The 20,286-nt window shown below is 40.5% G+C and overlaps 1 long non-coding RNA gene and 1 other non-coding gene across 3 annotated transcripts in view; both read right to left on the bottom strand.

Moving 5' to 3' along the window:
• The window catches only part of LOC105377891 (uncharacterized), a 60,354-nt gene that overhangs the window by 33,994 nt on the left and 6,074 nt on the right, over nucleotides 1-20,286 (bottom strand). The gene's annotated exons all lie outside the window — the stretch shown is intronic.
• MIR4464 (microRNA 4464) lies at nucleotides 10,766-10,857 on the bottom strand. Its single transcript, NR_039671.1, has one exon. It is a non-coding gene; the product is annotated as a microRNA 4464 (primary transcript).

Here is a 20,286-nt window from a genome sequence, read left to right as displayed (position 1 = left end):
GACTTCTTATTTAAGAAATACATTTCATAAAGCTATAGCTGCCATAGATAGTGATTCCTCTAATGGATCGTGGCAAAGTAAATTGAAAACCTTCCGGAAAGAATTCATCATTCTAGATGCCATTAAGAACATTTGTGATTCATGGGAGCAGGTCAAAATATCAACGTTAGCAGGAGTATGGAAGAAGTTGATTCCAAACCTCATGAATGACTTTGAGGGGTTCAATACTGAAGTGGAAGAAGTAACTGCAGTTGTGATGGAAATAGCAAGATAAGTAGAATTCGAAGTGAAGCCTGAAGACGTCAGAGAATTGCTGCAATCTCAAGATAAAGTTTGAACAGATGAGGAGTTGCTTTTTATGGATGAGTAAAGAAGGTGGTTTCTTGAGATGGAATCTACTCCTGATGAAGGTGCTGTGAATGTTGTTGAAATGACAACAAAGGAGTTAGAATACTATATAAACTTACTTGATAAAGCAGCAGCAGGGTTGGAGAGGATTGACTACAATTTTGAAAGAAGTTTTACTATGGGTATAATGCTGTCAAACAGCATTGCATGCTACAGTGAAATCTTTCATGAAAGAAAGAGTCCATTGATCCATTAATTATTTTCTGATTTTAAGAAGTTGCCACAGCCATCCCAACCTTCAGCAACCACCACCCTGATGAGTCAGCAGCCATCAACATCGAGGCGAGGCCCTCCACCAGCAAAAAAAAATTACGACTCACTGAAGGCTCAGATGATTGTTGGCATTTTTTAGCAATAAACTATTTTTTATTTAAGGTATGTACATTTTTAAAGATACAATGTTATGGCACACTTAATAAACTATAGTTTAGTATACACATAACTTTTATATGAACTGGAAAACAAACAAATTTACGTGACTGGCTTTATTGTGATGTTCATTTTACTGAGATGACCTGGAACCAAACCTGCAATATCTCAGAGGTATACACGTACTCCGCTATAAAAAAACAAGTAGAGATGATCTCTATTGACATTGAAAGATCACCAGAACATGTTAAATGAGTAACTGTAAGGTCTGGAACAGGATATCTTGTATGCTAACCTTTGCAGAAAATTGAGGTGGGTGGGTAGATAAGAATATACATTTATAATTGCTTATATTTGCATTAAGAAACATTGAAAAGAAACACAAAAGTATAAAAATAAAATTATCCTATTGGGGGTCAACAGGAACCAGGACATACACTTCTAAATGAATACTTTTTCAATCCTTTTGGGTTTTGAATCATGTGACTATATTACGAAAAAAATTTAATTAAAAAATCAATAATAGGGTCAGGTGCGGTGACTCACACCTGTAATCTCAGCATTTTGGGAGGCCAAGGCAGGTGGATCACTTTGAGCTCAGGAGTTTGGGACCAGCCTAGGCAACATGGCAAAACCCCATTTCTACTAAAAATACAAAAAATTAGCCTGGTATGGTGGTGTGCACCTGTAGTCCCAGCTACTTGGGAGGCTGAGGCATGAGAATCACTTGAACCTGGGAGGTGGAGGTTGCAGTGAGCCGAGATTGCACCACTGCACTCTAGCCTAACCTGGTGATAGAGTGAGGCTCTGTCTCAAAAAAAAAAAAAAACCAATAATGGTGTTTTGTTATCATATCACCCTAACTAATTTGTTTATGGCACTTACCACTATCTGATGTTTTCTTGTTTAATTATTTGTTTCCTTGTTTCCTCCCCTCTGGAATGGAATTCAGCAAATTATAACCCAAGGGCCAAATCTAACCTGCCTATTATTTTGGTAAATAAAGTTTTATTAAAACACATCCATGTCCATTCATTTATATATTTCTGAGGCTATTTTTGTGTAACAGTGGCAGATGTGAGCAGCTGTGACTGAAAAACATATTGCCCACAAAGCCTAAAAATGTACTATCTGTCTCTTACAGAAAAATAGTTTGCTGACCTTTGCTCTAGAATGTTAATTTCTTCCTAGTAAAACGTATGCACAGAAAGTTTATTTGGTCTCCACTCTCTCCCTCACCACCTGGAATAGTGTCTAGCACATAGTAGGTTCTCAATCCATACTGTCTCAAGTTGGGTTCATGGGGAAACGAACTGAGCTGCAGATTAGCGTGCCGGAAGTCCCTTCAGGAACACTCTGAGATCACCACGTGAGCAAGGCAAAGGAGCAGGCCTGGGCAGAGGGAGAAGTCAAGCTTTGGTGCAGTCTCCATGGAATGCCTCACCTAACCTGATGGGAAGTTCTGAAAATGGATGACTCTTCAGAGCCATCTGAATGAGCTGAGGGCTGGGCCTTTGTAGTCCTGCTTGAATCTGTCCTTGAATGGGGGCCACACTGGGAAAGAGGGGTGACCTTAGGGGAAGCAGCTTTCCTCAGCCAAAGCCCCTCCTGAAGCAGCGCTGCCTGCTGAGGGCTGTCTGCCAGCAGCACTCCCAACAGTTGGGGGTAATAAGTCCTTAATTCCTGGGGAGACAGCAGCACAACATAGCATCCATCACAAGTATGAACTGAATCAACGCACAACTGTGTGAGTATGTTTGTACGCACCTGCTCTGGTGATAATTCCAATGCCTTTGGAAGTACCATTCAATACATTTCATTTTCATAATCTTTCTTTGGACTTCTCAGTATGTGTCTGAGTTTGTGTTCTCTCAAAAGCAGATTGAGACAATGACTAGGTTTCAAGTAGTTTTTTGCAAAACACAGGGAACACCAGCGGAGGAAAGAAGAAGTCAGATAGGGAAGGGAAAGCAGTCGATCCTGCTGGCTGTGGGCAATAGAGAAACGTGCTACCCGACATGGGGTTCAGGGAATAGTGCCCATCCAGCAACTGTTTGCCAGTTTGACAACCACTGCATTTACAACCACAGTTGTTATCAATTCCACCTCATTCTGATTCTTGGTTTCTGATCAGAACTAAGCAGATTTTTTTTCACTCACTCCGAATCATTAACTTAAAGTTAACAGCCTATAACTGGACGGAAAATGTATGCTGGTACTTAAGTGCTCCAGAGCAGCTTAGTATAAAAATCCCTTCCCTTTGTTCCCTTCTGTAATAAGAAAACCAAACTACCATATCAAATGGAAAGTGTGGGCTTGCCTTTTCTGATGTCTCTGCTCTAAGAGGCCAAGGGGAGTTAGAGTCATCTTCCCTCACTCTCCTTCCATGCATCACCACGCATCACCATCAACACGAGGGAAGCAGAAAGAGAAAACAGCCACCTAGAACATTTTCACCCATTCAGAAGATTGCAACCCCATGACAATACTGTTCCAATCAGGGGATAGTAATTTTCACATTTTTCCAGGAAAGGTAAGATATTTCCCATCCCAAACCTAAGTTTTTATCCTTTGAAGCTAGAGATTCTATATTTCTCATTTTAAAACAATGGTTCCTATGGGAACAAAGTATCAGTTTCTCTTAGCAACCACTGAGCGTTTACAACATTGATAAAACTTAGTTTCCACATGAAACTACCTTTAGTAAGAGCTTATTGTTACTATAAAACCAAGGTTACCATAGTATAAGTAAAAAAAAAAAATCGAAGCAAGATACAAGATTAGATATAAATTACAATAACTGTAAAAAGTAACCTGTGTAGAAAACACAAAAAGACTTCAAAGAAGCATATTAAAATAGTAACTTACTTTCTTTGCATGCACATTTTCTAAATTTTTGTTTCATGTATAAAATATAGTAGAAAACAGAAAGATAACTAGACACTGTGTAATTGGATTTTAAATTAGAGATGGAGGATGGGAGTATTGAATCGTGCAATAAAAGCTAAGCTGACCAGCAGAGCACTTTTCTTCTAGCTCTGACTTCATGGCTACGTTACTGGGTGGCAGGGCCCAAATCACTTCTTCACGGGCCTCAGGCTCTTCCCATGAAAAAATTAAGTCTACGTTTCTTTTGAACTCTAAAACTCAAAGACTTATAATTTTACTTTCCCACAATAGTTTTATATAGGAGTATTGACCCAATATTGCAATGGTTCTCAGACTTTGGAGAGCATGAACATCACTAGGGGAGTGTTTCAAAAACAGATGCCTTGGTTGCAACTTCATTGATTCTCCACTATAGACTGTTAACCAGACATCTGTGCAAGTCTTGAAGACTTAAGCATTGCCTAATAAAATAAACCACTGGGCACATCTAACACTAAGTGCTACAATTAGAAGTTGGGGCAGTTTTTGTCCTACAATATTTTACTCAGACTCATCTACTCACCCCAGTCACCTTGTTCTGTTAATTTTCAGTCTTGGATCCATTAGTATTTTTTCACATCTTTGAAGCATCACTCTGCACCATCTGTAGCATCCTATATGACTCATCACTGAAACATAACAGACTCCCTTCACATGTAGAGCCTGACTCTCAGAAAATGCATGCTCTTCCAATGGCACTGGAGGCTTGCACGTCATTCTCTAACAGCAGCAGTGCTTTCTCTATTGTATACAACAGCAGCAGATCTTCCACTGGTGGAATGAAAGCTACAACAAAGCATGGGGACAAAAGTAAAAGAGTTTGCAAATTATGTTTAATACTCCATATTCAGGAGTAAATGTCCCATATGTTGACAAATCAGAAAATGAAACAATCAGGCTTTGGCTAGGACCTTTCTTCTCCTGTGAAAATGAACTCCAACCCACTGGTGAGCAAACAAAAAAGTCCTCATAGAGGAGTTTCTTCTTGAAGATAATCAAATTTTAAAAATTCAAAACAGAAATGTCTTTACAAGACATTCATTTAAAAAAGCTAGTTTTAAATTTAATAAATAGGAAAAAGCGGTCCAAAAATTGTATAATGCTGTTTTGATGTGCAGTTTGGGTGGGAGATGCCTTTATAACTTAGTGTTTACACTGTTCAAAATAGGTTCTCTTTAAATGCATCATGGATGTAAGAAAACACAAGCTATAAAGCAAGCGTGGTGGCTCATGCCTGTAATCCCAGCACTTTGGGAGGCTGAAGCAGGAAGATTGCTTGAGGTCAGGAGTTTGTGACCAGACTAGGCAACATAGCCAGACCCTGTCTCTACAAAAAAAATTAAAAATTAGCTGGGTATGGTGGTGCACACCTATAGTTCTAGCTACTCAGAAGGCTGAGGTGGGAGAGTCACTTGAGCCCAGGAGTTCGACACTGCAGTGAGCTATGATCAAACCACTGCCTCCAGCCTGGGTGACAGAACAAGACCCCAACTCTAAGAAAAAAAAAAAAGACACAAGCTATGAAAACCAGAATATATGAAACATAGTGAAACACATTTCAAATTTGTTCTTACCTTTACAAAAATTCTTTACATAAACTTTGAAATAGGAATATCCCATTCAGCATGTAAAAAATCAGTGGGGCCAGGCACTCTGGCTCATACCTGTTATCTCACCATTTTGGGAGGCTGAAATGGGAGGATTGCTTGAGCCCAGGAGTTGAAGGCTGCAATAAGCTATAACTGTGCCGCTGTGCTTCAGCCTGAGCAACACAGCGAGACCCTGTCTCTAAAACAAAAATGAATTAAAATGAAAATATCATTGGATTTACTGGCAGTATTCTTTTTTTTTCTTTCTTTTTTTTGAGACCGAGTCTTGCTCTGTCACCCAGGCTGGCGTGCAGTGGTTCAAATGATTCTCCTGCCTCAGCCTCCTCAGTAGCTGGGATTACCCACCAAAGGGCCTGGCTATTTTTTGTATTTTTAGTAGAGATGGGGTTTCACCATGTTGGCCAGGCTGGTCTTGAACTCGTGACCTCAAGGGATCCACCCACTGCAGCCTCCCAAAGTGCTGGGATTACAGGCATGAGCCACCATGGCCAGCCAGTAATATTCTATTTATTGATCTAGGTGCTGGTTATATGGATGTGTTCACTTTGAGAAGATGTATTGAACTGTGAATTTGTGCTCTTCATAATAAGTATGTTATATTTTAGTAAAAAGTTTACCTAAAAATTCATTAGATTTATAATCCCATATGCATGCAACTTTTCATGGATGAAAAATTGCTGTATCTTTGTAGGTGGTATGTAAGAAAACTAAACAAGGAAGGAAAAAAGGAACAGGATAGAACCAGCTTCTGAAATACATGAATGAGGCCACGTGAGCTGAGAGCAAAGGACCAAGTTGGAGTAAAGCATAACCCAATGTCTATAAGATGGTGTAGCCATCCAATATGACCATTTTTAGGGTAAAGTCAAATGTCAGAGTTGACCATTATTATTAGTCCCCTTTTAAAAGAAGACTAAGGGAGAGGAACTTCACACACCGGGGCCTGTCAGGGGGTGGAGGGCTAGAGGAGGGATAGCATTAGGAGAAATACCTAATGTAGATGACAGGTTGATGGGTGCAGCAAACCACCATGGCATGTGTATACCTATGTAACAAACCTGCAGTTCTGCACATATATCCCAGAACTTAAAGTATAATAAAAATGAAATAAAAGAAAACTAACAAGCCGGGCATGGTGGCTCACACCTATAATCCCAGCACTTTGGGAGGCCGAGGAGGTTGGATCACTTGAGGCCAGGAGTTCGAGACCAGCATGGCCAACATGGTGAAACTCCGTCTCTACTAAAAATACAAAAATGAGCTGGGCGTGGTGGCACACACTTGGAATCCCAGCTGCTTGGGAAGCCGAGGCAGGAGAAGCGCTTGAACCCAGGAGGTGGAGGTTGTAGTAAGCTGAGATTGAACCACTGCACTGCAGTCTGGGTGACAAAGCAAGACTCTGTTTTAAAAAAATAAAAAAATAAAATAAAAGAAGACTAACAGATAAAGATCCGACCTGGGGCATGAAGCAACGTAATTTTTCTCACAAGAAGACTGGAACTCTATTTCCAGAAATAGTGTGAAATCACAGAACCCAGGACTTGGATATAGAACTGGCCACTTATTAGCTGTATGATATTGGGCATATTTAACCTATCTGAGCCCTAATCTGTTCATCTATAAAAGGGAGACAATAAAACCTACCATGTGGAGTTGTGAAGATTAAGCAAATAATATATATGAAGTGCTGATTCACTGTCTAGTTTAAATAACAATAATTATTGTTCCTGTTCTGTCCATTAAGTGTAAATACTTTGAAGAAAAAATATGCCTCTACTTGGAATTATTTAAGTTTGTTTAAAGGCAAAATTGAATGTTTTGGTCAAAAAAATCATTTTATTTTTCCATGGTAGCACTAAACACATTTTTAGTACCAAAAATGATTTCTACATGCTGAAAGAATGTGATTTGGTGTTTTTCCCTTCTAGTTTTTGAATATAATGCAGTACACGTAGCTAAAAGGCTTCTAAGTGGGTACTGACTGTTGATGCTTACGCTCTCCATAGTTAATATAAACCCTGGATTTACATGGGCTTCAATTTCCTTTACAACAGTTGCCTGAGTAGGATTTATCACCCTTGTCCTGGTGCACTCGGGAGGATAGACAAGGTGAAAAGAACAGCCTAGCTAGTTAGACTGTCTTAATGTGAAAGTGTCTTTGAGCAAGCACTAGCTTTAATTTTCCCTCCCAAATCAAAATATGATGCAGTTGTGTTTACACAGGGCTTGCATCTAGATCTTGACTTTACTTGTATATACTTACCTAAATGCTTAAGTATTTGGGATTTCCCCCTATAAATTACCTCTGTGGTAATCATACGCTGTTTGAGTAGCATCAAATAGGTCCACATCTACAAAAAGCTTTGTTAATTTAAGCAGAAGTCTGGTAACATAAAAACCCTTTACAATAACATGGAGCCCAGATGAAACCCACAAATGCAAGTTTAGAGGTTGAGCGATACTCCCTCCTTCATTTGCCCTGCTGCTTTGATAGTTGAGACTCGGTGAACCGGAACCAAATTCACAAGGGGCAAGCTTGCCATTTCCAGTCTCTTAGATTAAATTGAAGTCTTGTTTTTAATTTCATTTCCTTTTTTATTTAAAAAAAGAACTTGTTATTCACTTTTCACAACTATGCTAAAATGTAAGTTAACTGTCCCAGTGTTGCCTCTCTGCCTGGTTGCTCATTGGATAAAACACAAATGTATTATCAAAAATAGCCTTGGTGCAGGCAGCCCAGCACAACCATTACAGTTAGCTGAGGAGGACTCTAAGGAATGACATAACCAGTATCTGGGAATCCCCTACGTGGTGTTATACAAAAAATCATTAACATGTTTATACTCAAGTCCATTTCAGGTATTGGAAAAGAATAGCTGGGGTTTACACTATATTTTAAAGAGAAAATTATTGGGAAAATAGAATTAATCCTTGAGTTGAGCAAAGATTCATTGCCAACAGTTTTCTAGTTTTGAACCTTGACTCTGTTATTGATAGTCCTTGTCATTCTCAGCAAGTTTTTGAGCCTCAATTTTACCATCTATGACACAGGAATAATACAAGCATGCTTTATTTTCTGCAGTTAATGTACCTGTGAAAACTTGTGTGAATTGAATTGTGGAAAATAAAATTACAAGCTTTGAATATATTAGAAAAAATCAATATTTTAAGAAACCTCAAGATGAATCCTTTTGTCAAGTGAAGAATCTTCTTTATACCTTATTTTTAAAAATAAACCCAATTTTAGTATTATATTTTTTAAAACTAGAACACATTTTAAAAGGGAAAGAATGGTGATTTTTGTGGTCCTCATGGCCATGGGCTTCCCTCTCCTCTTGGAAGGTTTCTCAGGAACCACCTTGCTCTGCTCAGCTCCTTGCCGCAGTGCTGGGTTGGGAAGGTAAGGTGGCCAAAGAAGGGTCTGTGCTTGCAGGATGATTCCTCAGGCATTAAAAACACTGTGTGTTACTGAGAGGATTAAGGGAATGGGCAGTAGAAACCAGCGCTGGGGAGATGGAAGGTAAGAAGAATAGGCGGACTTAGGGCTGATGAGGAAGTTTAAAGCAGAACTGGTAGAGTGCTTGATGTGTTTGAGAAACAAATCGTTGCATGTGATTTAGATGTGATGAATGGAGAGTGACTGAAGGTTGGAGGTAGAGGTAAGGGCCAGGTTACACAAAGCCTCATAGACCAGGATATGATGGCTGTCCTTTATCATAACCTCAGTGTGAGACCCTGTAGGGGCTCTGAACAGAGGGGTGACATGACACCATTCACATGTTAGAAAAATCTTTTTACTGCTAGGTGAGTATGGGTTGGACATAGGAAAGAGTGGAAGCAGAGACTGTTTAGGAGCCAGTGCACTTGCAGTAGTAAGGACAGGAAAGTCTACAACCTGGATGGAGATGGATAGCAGTGGACAGGTTCTATAAATGGAATTTGAGGGTAGAATTATCAGGTATGGCTGAAAGATGGAATATGCGGCAGTGAGGGGAGGAGGGAGCCAATGATGACTCCTAGGTTTCTAGAATGAGTGACTGTGTGCCCTTCACTCTTCCCTTATTTCTCTATAGTCTTTTGGATATAATATCATTATTTCTGTTACTCCAGCTGTCACTCTATTCACAGCTATTCTCCAGCTCGAACCTCCCTTCTGAGTTTCAGACCCATATTTCCAACTGCCTGCTGCACATCAAATGCAATATCCCCTTCTTCATCACCCCCGTGCTCAAAAACTATGAATGCTTCCTAATTGATGAAGAAATTGAGAGCAAAGATCCATGTCTGGTACTCAAAATCCTCTGCCACATAGACACCAGCTCATTTTAGGAGCACTGTCCACAGAAGTGGCATGACATTGTGGGAAAGAATATGCAGAAGGGGATGGGTAGCATCCGCTTGGGTTGGACATGAGCACATTGAATATGGGGCTGTGCCTGGATTATCCAAGGAAATGAAGAGCTGCTCCTCTTTAAGAAGGCTTTTCACAAAAATACTGTTCATCTTAGAATCAGACGCATCCCAGTTTATAATAGGTGTCTGAAGGAAAGTCTAGTGGAAATTGGCTGCTTTTGTCTGCCCAACACCCCTCTGTCCCTTAAGATGGAAATGTGCCAGTCATAGTTTCTGTCTCTCTTTCCTTAATGGCAGTTCCATGGCATAAGCATGTGACCCAGCAGGGCCACACAAAGGCCCGCCAGAGGTGTGCATATGGACCCTGGGAGAGGAAGTGTTGTTGCCCCTCCCCAGAGATGTGGAGCATAAGGACCTGCAGTAAGGAGCCTGGAGCTGCTGGTGACCACCTTGCCCTTCACATGGCGAGTACCAGCTTGAGTATGAGACCAGCAAAGAGGAAAATGAAGCTGAGAGAGTGTCAGGGACCCCAGATTTGGCAGTCACACTAGGCAAATAGTGACTATAAGAATGGTGGCTTGGAGGGAAATGTGAAACATTCCAGCCCACTGTCCTCATCACAAGGAGTCAATGTTTCATTTCCCCTAAACCTGCTCCTTGCCTTTGTGGTGCTCCTTGTCCACTGCTATCCACCCCAGCCCTGGGCCTCCACTCAAGCCAGGGTAGGGGCCACTGAGGTTTCCTTACCTCCCACCTCACAGGCAGGCATCCATGTAGGCAGCAGTCCTGGTTTCTCTCTGGCCATTCCATGCATCCCTACCACACTAGGGCTTTGAGAAGCATGCATGACTACTCCACTACCTCTGCCCCCTCAATCACCAAACTGCGCCCACCCTGGGTTCCCAGTGGATTACTTCAATCCTAAACAGAACTAATTATCTAAACATTTTGAGAATTGTTCAAGACAAAATATGGCACCAGTATACCACAGAGTTGGATACAAAACATAACCTTATTTATTGGAGATCAGAAGCAGGAGCATTGAAACACACACACACATACTCCTACTACACACACATACACGCAGCACAAAACTCTGAATTAGTAAGGTTTGGATACATGCAATAAAGTATGTCCTTTCAGCTGTGGACATACTTTATTGCATCTATCCAAACCTTACTAAGGTTCCTGATTTTTAATAAACTTATAATAGATTGAAGCAATTTTTATTTGCTGTTCCTGATTTTTAATAAACTTATAAAATAATAGATTGAAGCAATTTTTATTTGCATTCGATTCCACATTTGGGGCCAGATTCTCTTTGTGCCTTCTTCTTTGAGTGAACATCGAATGTCTTTGGATGAGCACTGGGCTCTGTCAGGCCATTACAGTTACTGTTTTAGAATACTAAATGTGACACTAGTGACCTAGTGGCATTAATGCACCTTTCAAAAGTGCCCAGTTTTCTCCTTGGAAGTAATTTCAGCAGTGATAGGCTACAACTGAGTAATTTCTGATAAGCAATTAGCACATATCAAATCAATGCACATTACTCAAGGTTTTATACTGCTAGTGGAGATATAGCAGGGGTTACCCATTAAAAAGCATCTGTGAAAAACTTCTGCTGTTATTATGGAAGCAGTGGGCAATATTCAAATCGAGGCAACTCAACCATTAAATAAATGTATTTTTAATCATGAAATGTCACTGTTCTACAGACCTGTTTTTCCTATTAACATGTGGGAGATAATGTTAATGAGATTTAGTTAGTGTTTTAAAAGCAATTGAAGTCTTATTATGAAAGGCAGCAGAAAAGGACACAGCAATATTCTTCTAAGCTGTGAATCACTCCATATCTGTGTGAAATCGAATAGTGTAGAAATCTACATGGGAATCATCTAAGCAACAAAAACATAGAAGACTCCCAAACACTCCTACTCTATATCATTTTTCATACCTAAAATGAAATAAGAAAGCACACTACGGTTGGAAATTTTAATGGGGGGAAGGCCCCCATGTTGATATTTCAGAAAACAGTTCATTCTTGAAGTATGAATGTATTTGAGGTATCAGTCATTGTGTTTACCCATCAATAGTGACTCTAAAGAAAGAGTATCCTATGCACAGCAGATGCTGAACGTGAAGGCCTGGGTGACCATGATTTGTTCCTTGGGACACCCCTCCCCTCTCGCCACCCACCTCAAGCTGGTAAATTGATTGGACCAGGGTTGGGCCAAGGCAGCCAATCCATGCCCGGCCTGTGTTAAATCATAAGTGGAGCCAATCAGATTTTTCCTCACATGCATTTGAACTAAGATCTAATAAATAAGAAAATAGGAGTTGAAGCTAAAAGGACAGATATAGAATGGTCATGAAGAGTCATATCTTTAAAAAGGGACACATTTGTTTTTAAAAGTTTTAGAAAACAGAAATTATGAACATAAAGGGATATCTTGGCTGGACCCCAAGCCAATGCTCGAATTGGCTTGTCTGTGAGGTGGAAGAAGCCCTAGAGATCCTCTGTACATTCACAGAACATGCAAGGGCCATGCAATAAGAATCCAGCCACATTCCTCAGTTTTCCTGGGTTTGCACACACCAGCATGTCTGTTTGACAGGCCAGAGAAGGAGAGAAGGAAAGTGACACGGGCTAAATTGCAGGGAGCAACTAACCCCTGGAAGGAAAACCCCCAAAACAATGAAGAAATCCAGTAGGGTGGACTAGAAGAAGGGCTTGGGTGTGGGATGAGAAGAGTGGCTTTGAATACAGTCTGAAGCGCCATCTGAAATCCAGACTTTCCTTCACAATCTCCACTCCCAGGGAGGAGTGGTGTCATCCAACCAAAAGAACTCACACACACATACACACAGCACACCACCCCACAAAACTCCAAATTAGTAAGGTTTGGATAGACACAATAGAGTGTGCCTCTATTGTGCTTCCCATGCTTCCCATGGGAATCATCGTCCCCCACATCACCTAGACCAGAGGAGGCTAGCAGAAGCAGCCATTTCCTTAGGAGGGAGATGCCCGCAAGTGAGCGAACAGAGGTCCTGGGGTGTATTAGAGGTCAGGGTTGGCCAGCACCTCTGTGGAGCAGCATGGGCCGTGCTATCAAGCAACATGAACGAGGGCTGGAGTGGCAGCCAGAACAGCCATGGCAGAGCCACAGAAGCTAACAGAGCCATCTCCCCAATCCCCCACTGAGTCCAGGCAGAGCTGACGTTCTGCCACTTGGCAAGTGGAGACTAGTAATCCAATGGATGCATGGACAAATTACTCCAGGAGACTTACCCAGATGCTCAGTGGATGGGGCTGAGATTCACATCATGACTTCCCAAGTAAACAGAGAAAGCTGGTCAGAAGTTCAAGGAATGGAGCAGAGATACTCAGAGAAAAACAGAACCCCATAGCCCTTGAGAGACGAACCTGACAGCTTTAAAATTCTAGTTTCAGATTGAATCCATGTGTTTCCTTACCATTACTCCCCTGACCTCTTTCTCATAGTGCCTTGGAAAGGTCTCTACTTCTTGCAACAGAAGAACAATCTAATTAAATAAGAAAATTAAAATATCCAAGTACAAATAACCCCATCATTTCTTTGACCTCCAGCAAATCGCCAAGTTGCTAGTGTTTGCCTGTGTGACTAGCACGCTTGTCCTCCTGCTCTGTGCTTCTCCCATTTCCTTCCCTGAGCCTGTCCTGGTAGCTGACAGGTTTACAATCTTCTCGAGCTGGCATGTGCCAGGCTGCTCACCTCTGGTCTGACTGTGGAGTAGAAGTAGCATTACCAAGTTAGTGCTTCTGGGAGTGGGAGAGAGGAGTAGAAAAGGATACATAAATGCAGCAGAGAGGAACTGCACAGGAAGTAGAAGAAAAGAAGCAAACCAAGACTAGATATGGTGGCCGCTAAGTGGTTCCATAGAGATGATAGAGTAAGTGCAGGATATGAAAGCCCTTCAAGGAGAGCCAGAATCCCACCTTGCACCACTCCGCCTTGAAGCTACCTATCCACCATGCCAATCTGGTCCATATTTCCCAATCTCATGCTTACCAAAATTAAAGGCACCACCAATATTAGAATCAAACGAGACACCAAATCTGACAGCCAGTCAAGTCTAGAAAGCAATCTTTGGCATTTTGTCAGCAACAAAGTACAAGTCTCCATTTTTAATTTTGGGAACTTTCATACTGTACAATTTACTATTTTCCCCATAGCCACCAGTGCTATTTGCCATCTACTTGGTATCTGGACCAAACCCAAACATTTGCTGGCAGAGGCAGCTTATACTGGCTTGGGCAGCCTTGCATGTTGGTCATGAGAAGAGGCCCTGGAGCCAGAATTCGTGAGTTCAAATCCTGCCTCTGGTACTTGATAGGGGTATGTCATTAGAAAATCATTTCACTCCTCTCTGCCAAGCTTCCTACTTCCCAGGGTGCTTGGGGTGACCAAACCTCCTGAATTGCCCCAGACTAAGGGGCTTCTTGAGATGTGGGACTTTCAGTGCTAAAGCTGGGAAAGTTCTAGGCAAACTGGAATGAGTTGGTCATCCAGAGATAAAATAAGATACTGCAAGTAAAGCACTAAGAATAATGAGTGTTCAACACATGTTAGCCATTGATGTTACATGAACCTGCAGCTAATGTGACTACTGGAATGGTCATGCTTTCCCCTAGACTTGGGACTCTGGGACAAGGTCCTGGACTTTTCTCAAAAGCAGGACCCCTTCCATTTCTACAAAGTCCTAGTACTGAGAATAGGACCAAGATGAAGGTGGGTGTGCCTGTGCTGATAGTGAAGTCCATGAGAAGATGGAGAGTGAGTCAGACCCCAGGCTCCTCTTCTGGCCCAGAATAATGCTAGAAGCCAACCCTCCTTCACCATCCTCCCCTAGACCTGAGCCATGCTGGCTGTCTGGCAGATCTACAGACAGAATTTGATCTACTGAGCAAAAACGTCTAGTTTGTAGAGTCAGATTGCCTCTCAGAACCCCCTGACTTCCCTGATAGGAGTTTCAAGGAGTTTCTGAAGAATGAAAGGGGCTGGCAAAATCAGGACAACCCTGCACACTCTGTTCTGCCATCCTGGGGGTTCCATTTCTTGCAGACTCTCCAGACATTTTATTTCTGAGGGCCTTGTGAGTTTCCTCACCTGGTCTCAGATATAGAAGCGAATGGTGTACACTTCAATGCAGGGCTTAAGTACTTACAAGTTCTAGACTGCCTGAGTGTGATTGAAGGCAGCTTATCCTTTTTAAACCTTGATTCCACATTTGAAAAGTTGAGATAATAATTATCAGTATTCACTAAGCACTTACTATGTCCTAAGGATCTGACATACAATATCTTAATTAAACTTCAAGACAAGCCAAAAAGGTATGCATTTTAGAAATCCCTTATTATAGGACTCTGAGGCACAGAGAGATTAAATAACTCAAACTCAGACAGTCTGACTCCAGAACTCAAACTCTCAACTCTATGTCTGCCTCACTGGGTTATTGTGAAAAACAAATTAACACATGCATAGACACTTTGTACATCTACATGCTCAATAAATATTAGGTGTCTTTTTAAAATTTTTATTTTACTTTAAGTTCTGGGATACATGTGCAGAATGCGTAGGTTTGTTACACAGGTACACATGTGCCATGGTGGTTTGCTGCACCTATCAACCCGTCATCTAGGTTTTAAGCCCTGGGATGCATTAGGTATCTGTCCTAATGCTCTCCCTCCCTTTGGCCCCCACCCCTCGGCAGGCCCGGGTGTGTGATGTTCCCCGCCTTGAGGTATCACTTTTTAAGAGGGAGGAGGAGGGCTGAAAAGATAGTCAAGGTAAGTGGTTCAGCATCAGTATACCATTTGTTCACATATAAGAATAGACAGTGGGTCTACTAAGCTAATCTAACACTATTAGACAATTTTAACAAGTGTTTATTGAGCACATACTCATTGACAAGTGCTATACAAAGAACTTGGGGTCTAGCTCTGAGCAAAACCAGACGCCGTTTCTACTGTCCTGAAGCTTATGGCCCAGAGAAAAAGATAAAAAATGAGCAGGTGACTCCACTTGAAAAAAGAGGAATAAATGAACAATTCAAAAAGGAAATTTAAGAAAACAATTCCATTTATAATAGCAATAGAAGAATAAAATATTTGGGAATAAACTTAACCAAGGAAGCAAAAGACTTGCATACTTAAAAATTATAAAGTATTACTAAAAGAAATTAAACACAAAATAAATGGAAAGATATCTCATGTTCATGAATTCAGACTTAATATTGTTAAAATAGCAATACTATCCAAGATTATCTACAGACTTAATGCATTTCCTATGGAAATCCCAATGGTGTTTTTTGCAGAAATAGAAAAATCCATCCTAATTCATATGAAATCTCAAGGGACCTTGAATAGCCAATTCAGTCTTGAAAAGGGACAAATTTGAAGGTCTTACACTTACTGATTTCAAAACTTATTACAAAACTATGTTAATCAAAACAGCATTGTACTGGCAGAAAGACAGACATATATACAAGAGAGTCTAGAAAAAAACCTCTCATATATATGGTCAAATGATTTTTGATAAGGTTGTCAAGATCATTAATGGGGAAAGGAGAGTCTTTTCAACCATGCTGGAAAAATCAGATATCCACATACAAATGAATGAAGACAGACCTTTACGTAATACCATATACAAAAATTAACTCGAAAATGGATCAAAGACCTAAACATAAGAGCTAAAACTATCAAACTCTTAGAAGAAAATACAGGGAAAAAACTCCTTGACATTGAATTTGGCAATGATTTATTGGATACGACACCGAAAACACAGGCAACGAAAGTAAAAATAATCAAATTAGACTACATCAAAATTTAAAACTGTCCATCAAAGGACACAATCAATAGAGTGAAATGGAAATCTAAAAAATGACAGAAAATATTTGCAAATTATCTATCTGATAAGGAGTTCATATCCAGAACATATGAAAAACTCCTACAACTCAACAGTAACAACACAACAACCCAATCAATAAATGGGCAAGCTGAACACAGTGGCTCATGCCTGTAATCCCAGTACTGAGAGGCCAAGGAGGGAGAATCGCTTGAAGCCAGGAATTCAAGACCAGCCTTGGCAACAAGTAAGACCCTGTCTCTACAAAAAGATTTAAAAATTAGCAGTTTAAAAACTACAGGTATGATGTGTACCTGTAGTTCGAGCTACTTGCGAGAAAGAGGCAGAAGAATCACTCGAGGCCAAGAGTTTGAGGCTGTGGTAAGCCATAATTGTGCCACTGCATTCCAGCCTGGGCAACAGAGTGAGACCTTGTCATTCATAGATAGATAGATAGATAGATAGATAGATAGATAGATAGATAGATAGACAGGAAAAGGAATGTAATGGACATTTCTCCAAAGAAGATATACAACTGGCCAGCAAGCACACACACAAAATTCTCAATATCACTAATCATTAGGGAAATGCAAATCAAAACCACAATGAGATACCACCTTACACCCATAAGGATGCCAACTATTAAAAAAAAACTAACGTGAAAAAAAATAAAATAAAAAGTATTGGTGATGATGTGGAGAAACTGATACCTAGAGTAGTCAAATTCATAGATATAAAAAGTTAAAAAGTGGTTTTCAGGGGTTGGGGAGTTGTTTCATGTTTTGCAAGATGAAAGGCATTCTGGAGATTGGTTGCACAATATGAATGTACTCAACTCTCCTGAACTGTACATTTAAAAATGATTAAGATGATACATTTTATATTATGTGGATTTCACCATAATTTAAAAAGTAAATTTTAAAAAAGAGGGGGTGGATATAATTATAATAATTGCTGCAAAGGATTTAGGTCCAAGGTACCTATAAAGAGGATCTGACCTGGGTAGTGGTGAAGAAAGCTCCACTTAGCTGAGAGCAGAATGAGTAGGAGTTTGCTGGGGGGAAGAAAAGAGGTAGAAAGAACAATATATGCAAAATCCTTGTGAGGTGAGTGATCTTCATGCACATGGGATGCTTTCTTAGGTATCAACTAAGTATAAACCTTTATTTTCACTTGACTATTTCTGTTTTTAAAAATGGAGACATAACTTATCAACACAGATTGCAAAAACCTTAAGTGAACAGCTCAGTAAATTTAGTAAAACACTTTGAATCCAGTAACAGTCAAAAAAGGTGCAGTTGTGCTTCCTTTATCCCTTCCTGCCCCTTCCCCTAATGCTTCCCTGGGCTGAGGATATGTCAGGGGGAGCTTTCCATACTGAAGGAGACTAAAGAGCTAGCACAACTAACTGTACCCCATGATCCTGACTCAAACTTTGCCCTAGAAAGGAAAAAAGATATTGTTGGTACAGTTGGTGAAATTTGAATAGGGTCTCTGGATTGAGTGGTATTGTTATACTGATGCTTACTTTCTGATTTGGATGTTGTATTGTGGTTATGTACCATTATTCCTTTTGAAAATGTGCACTGATGCATTTAGCAGCTGATGGAGCATCATTGTTGACAACTTACTTTCAAATTATTCAGAAAGAGAATAATGGTAATGGGTGTTTATATTAGATATTTCTGCAGGCATACGGAGAGAGAAAGAGAGAACAAATGTGTTAAAATATTAACAATTGGGATATCTGCATGAAGGAGATATGGTAGTTCTGTGTATTACTCTTGAAACTTTTCCTAAAGTTTAACATTATTCCAAGATCAATTATTTTTAAAAGATACTGTCTATGATGGCAATGGACTCACAGGTGAGGCAGCAGGTAAGAGAAGTGAGATTAGACATAAAGATAAACATTTTATCTGTCACTGAATTTGAAAAAGCAAAGTGTCAGAGAAAAGAATTAGTGTTCACTTAGCGCTTGCCAGAATGAAGTAGGCTATCCTGCAAATAACCCACTTATGGTTATCATAAATTAATAAGCATTCCGATTCAGCATCTGCTTTCATTAGCATAAGTTGGTCATCAGGCTGGGAGCACGGGTTCCTCCTCTAGACAATGGCCCAGCCACCAATCTTAAGACACCTTATATCCCAACCCACTTCCCTAGACCATCCTTTCCAGCTTTAGAAAATTAAGCACCAAGGAAATGTACCAATAGAAGCATGCCTGTTGACAAGACCTGGGAAGAGCTGTAAATCCAGAGGGTGCTGAAGTGCAGCTGGAACAAACACAGCACACCTCCATGTTTTCAGCCTTCTGCAAAATCACCAAAGGCTCAATTCAAGTTGGGGCACGAAACACTGGGTTTCCACACACACCTAACAATCGAAAGGCAGAGAAATTAGCTCCTCAGTGTGTGGTACTGTGGGAGACCTACTTAGAGAGCACCTGGGGAAAATGGAGAAACCGATGACACCTAAATGTCTGTCATTCACATAAGCACTATGCCGGATGCACACACGGGGCACAGAACAGCTGTGCTGACCAGCACATTGCTGCAACCACTGTTCAGGTTGGATGCCCTTGCATAATTATATCACATAAACAGATTTGTGAAAAACAGATTAGAAACTGTAGGTGCCATCTTACATATTCTTTGGGGAAATTGCTATAGGGTTAGTGAACTCAACTTTCTGTGTCTCTCAAAAACTCATAAGCTGAGTTGAGAAATATAATTCAATCGCAAGTATATTTTTATCAAAATAAAAGCATCAAGGCTTTCTTTTCACAGTAATTTAAAAATTGTCAGATTACTTCTGTCTACGACCAAACTTTTCCAAGTTTCTTTAAGCAAAGATGTAATAAAAGCTAAAACTCAGACCACTGATCAAAAACATCTTTTAGAGGTGGGCAGAATAAAGAGATGGACATTTAGTTAATGGAGTAGTTTAGAAAAAACTAGGCATCACAAACCCTGAGGGTAAAAAAAGGGAAGCATTGTTAGAGCTTTTTTTAAAAAAAAAAAAAAAAAGGGAAAAAAAGAAAGTAATCTTGTGATTATTATAAATTTTATTATTATTTTGCTTACCTGAGCCTGACCTAATCACCTCCTTCCCTGTTTCCCAGGTAAAAAAGAAAAATTAAGCTCTTACCCGAAATTTCATGTCTCTTGGCCCTACATCTTATCCTGAAGCTTCAAAATCTTTGCATCATCCCTTTCTTGGATGTCCCTGTAATCCAGACAGTTTTCAGAGGCGAGATCTGAGTGATCCTCCCCCGTCCTGCAAATTCTGTTTAATGCTCATGTTCTGCCTTTCTTCCACCTACCCATGTTTACCCCTGCCCCAGAGTTCTGCATTCTTGCCATTTTTTTCCTCTACATCAGTGCTCCTTCTGTTATCTGCTCCATTACCTTACCTTCTACCTCTTCCTTCACTCAGATTCCTACCTTCCTGCCTTTCTCCATCTTTCCAGGCCCCCACTTCTCTCATTCATTCCCCCCCTCCTCTGCAGTGGGTCTAGAAGCTCCTTGCTGTCATATCACACAGCCCCCATCCCACCAGACCTTTCTTAATCATGGGATGCTATTCCCAGGCCCCTCATTGAAATGCCCTTTTCCTTACCTTCCTCAACTTCCCAGTCTCTGCTTGATTTTCTACCTTCCTGTTGGCTCCATTCCTGTCTTTTTCATAAACTCCTTGTTCTGTGCCCACATCCATCCCCAACCC

Source organism: Homo sapiens, chromosome 6 (genome assembly GCF_000001405.40).
Source record: "Homo sapiens chromosome 6, GRCh38.p14 Primary Assembly".
Classification (NCBI taxonomy): Eukaryota; Metazoa; Chordata; class Mammalia; order Primates; family Hominidae; genus Homo; species Homo sapiens.
Note: the sequence above shows the minus strand (reverse complement) of the source record. Positions and strands in the feature narration are given on the sequence as shown.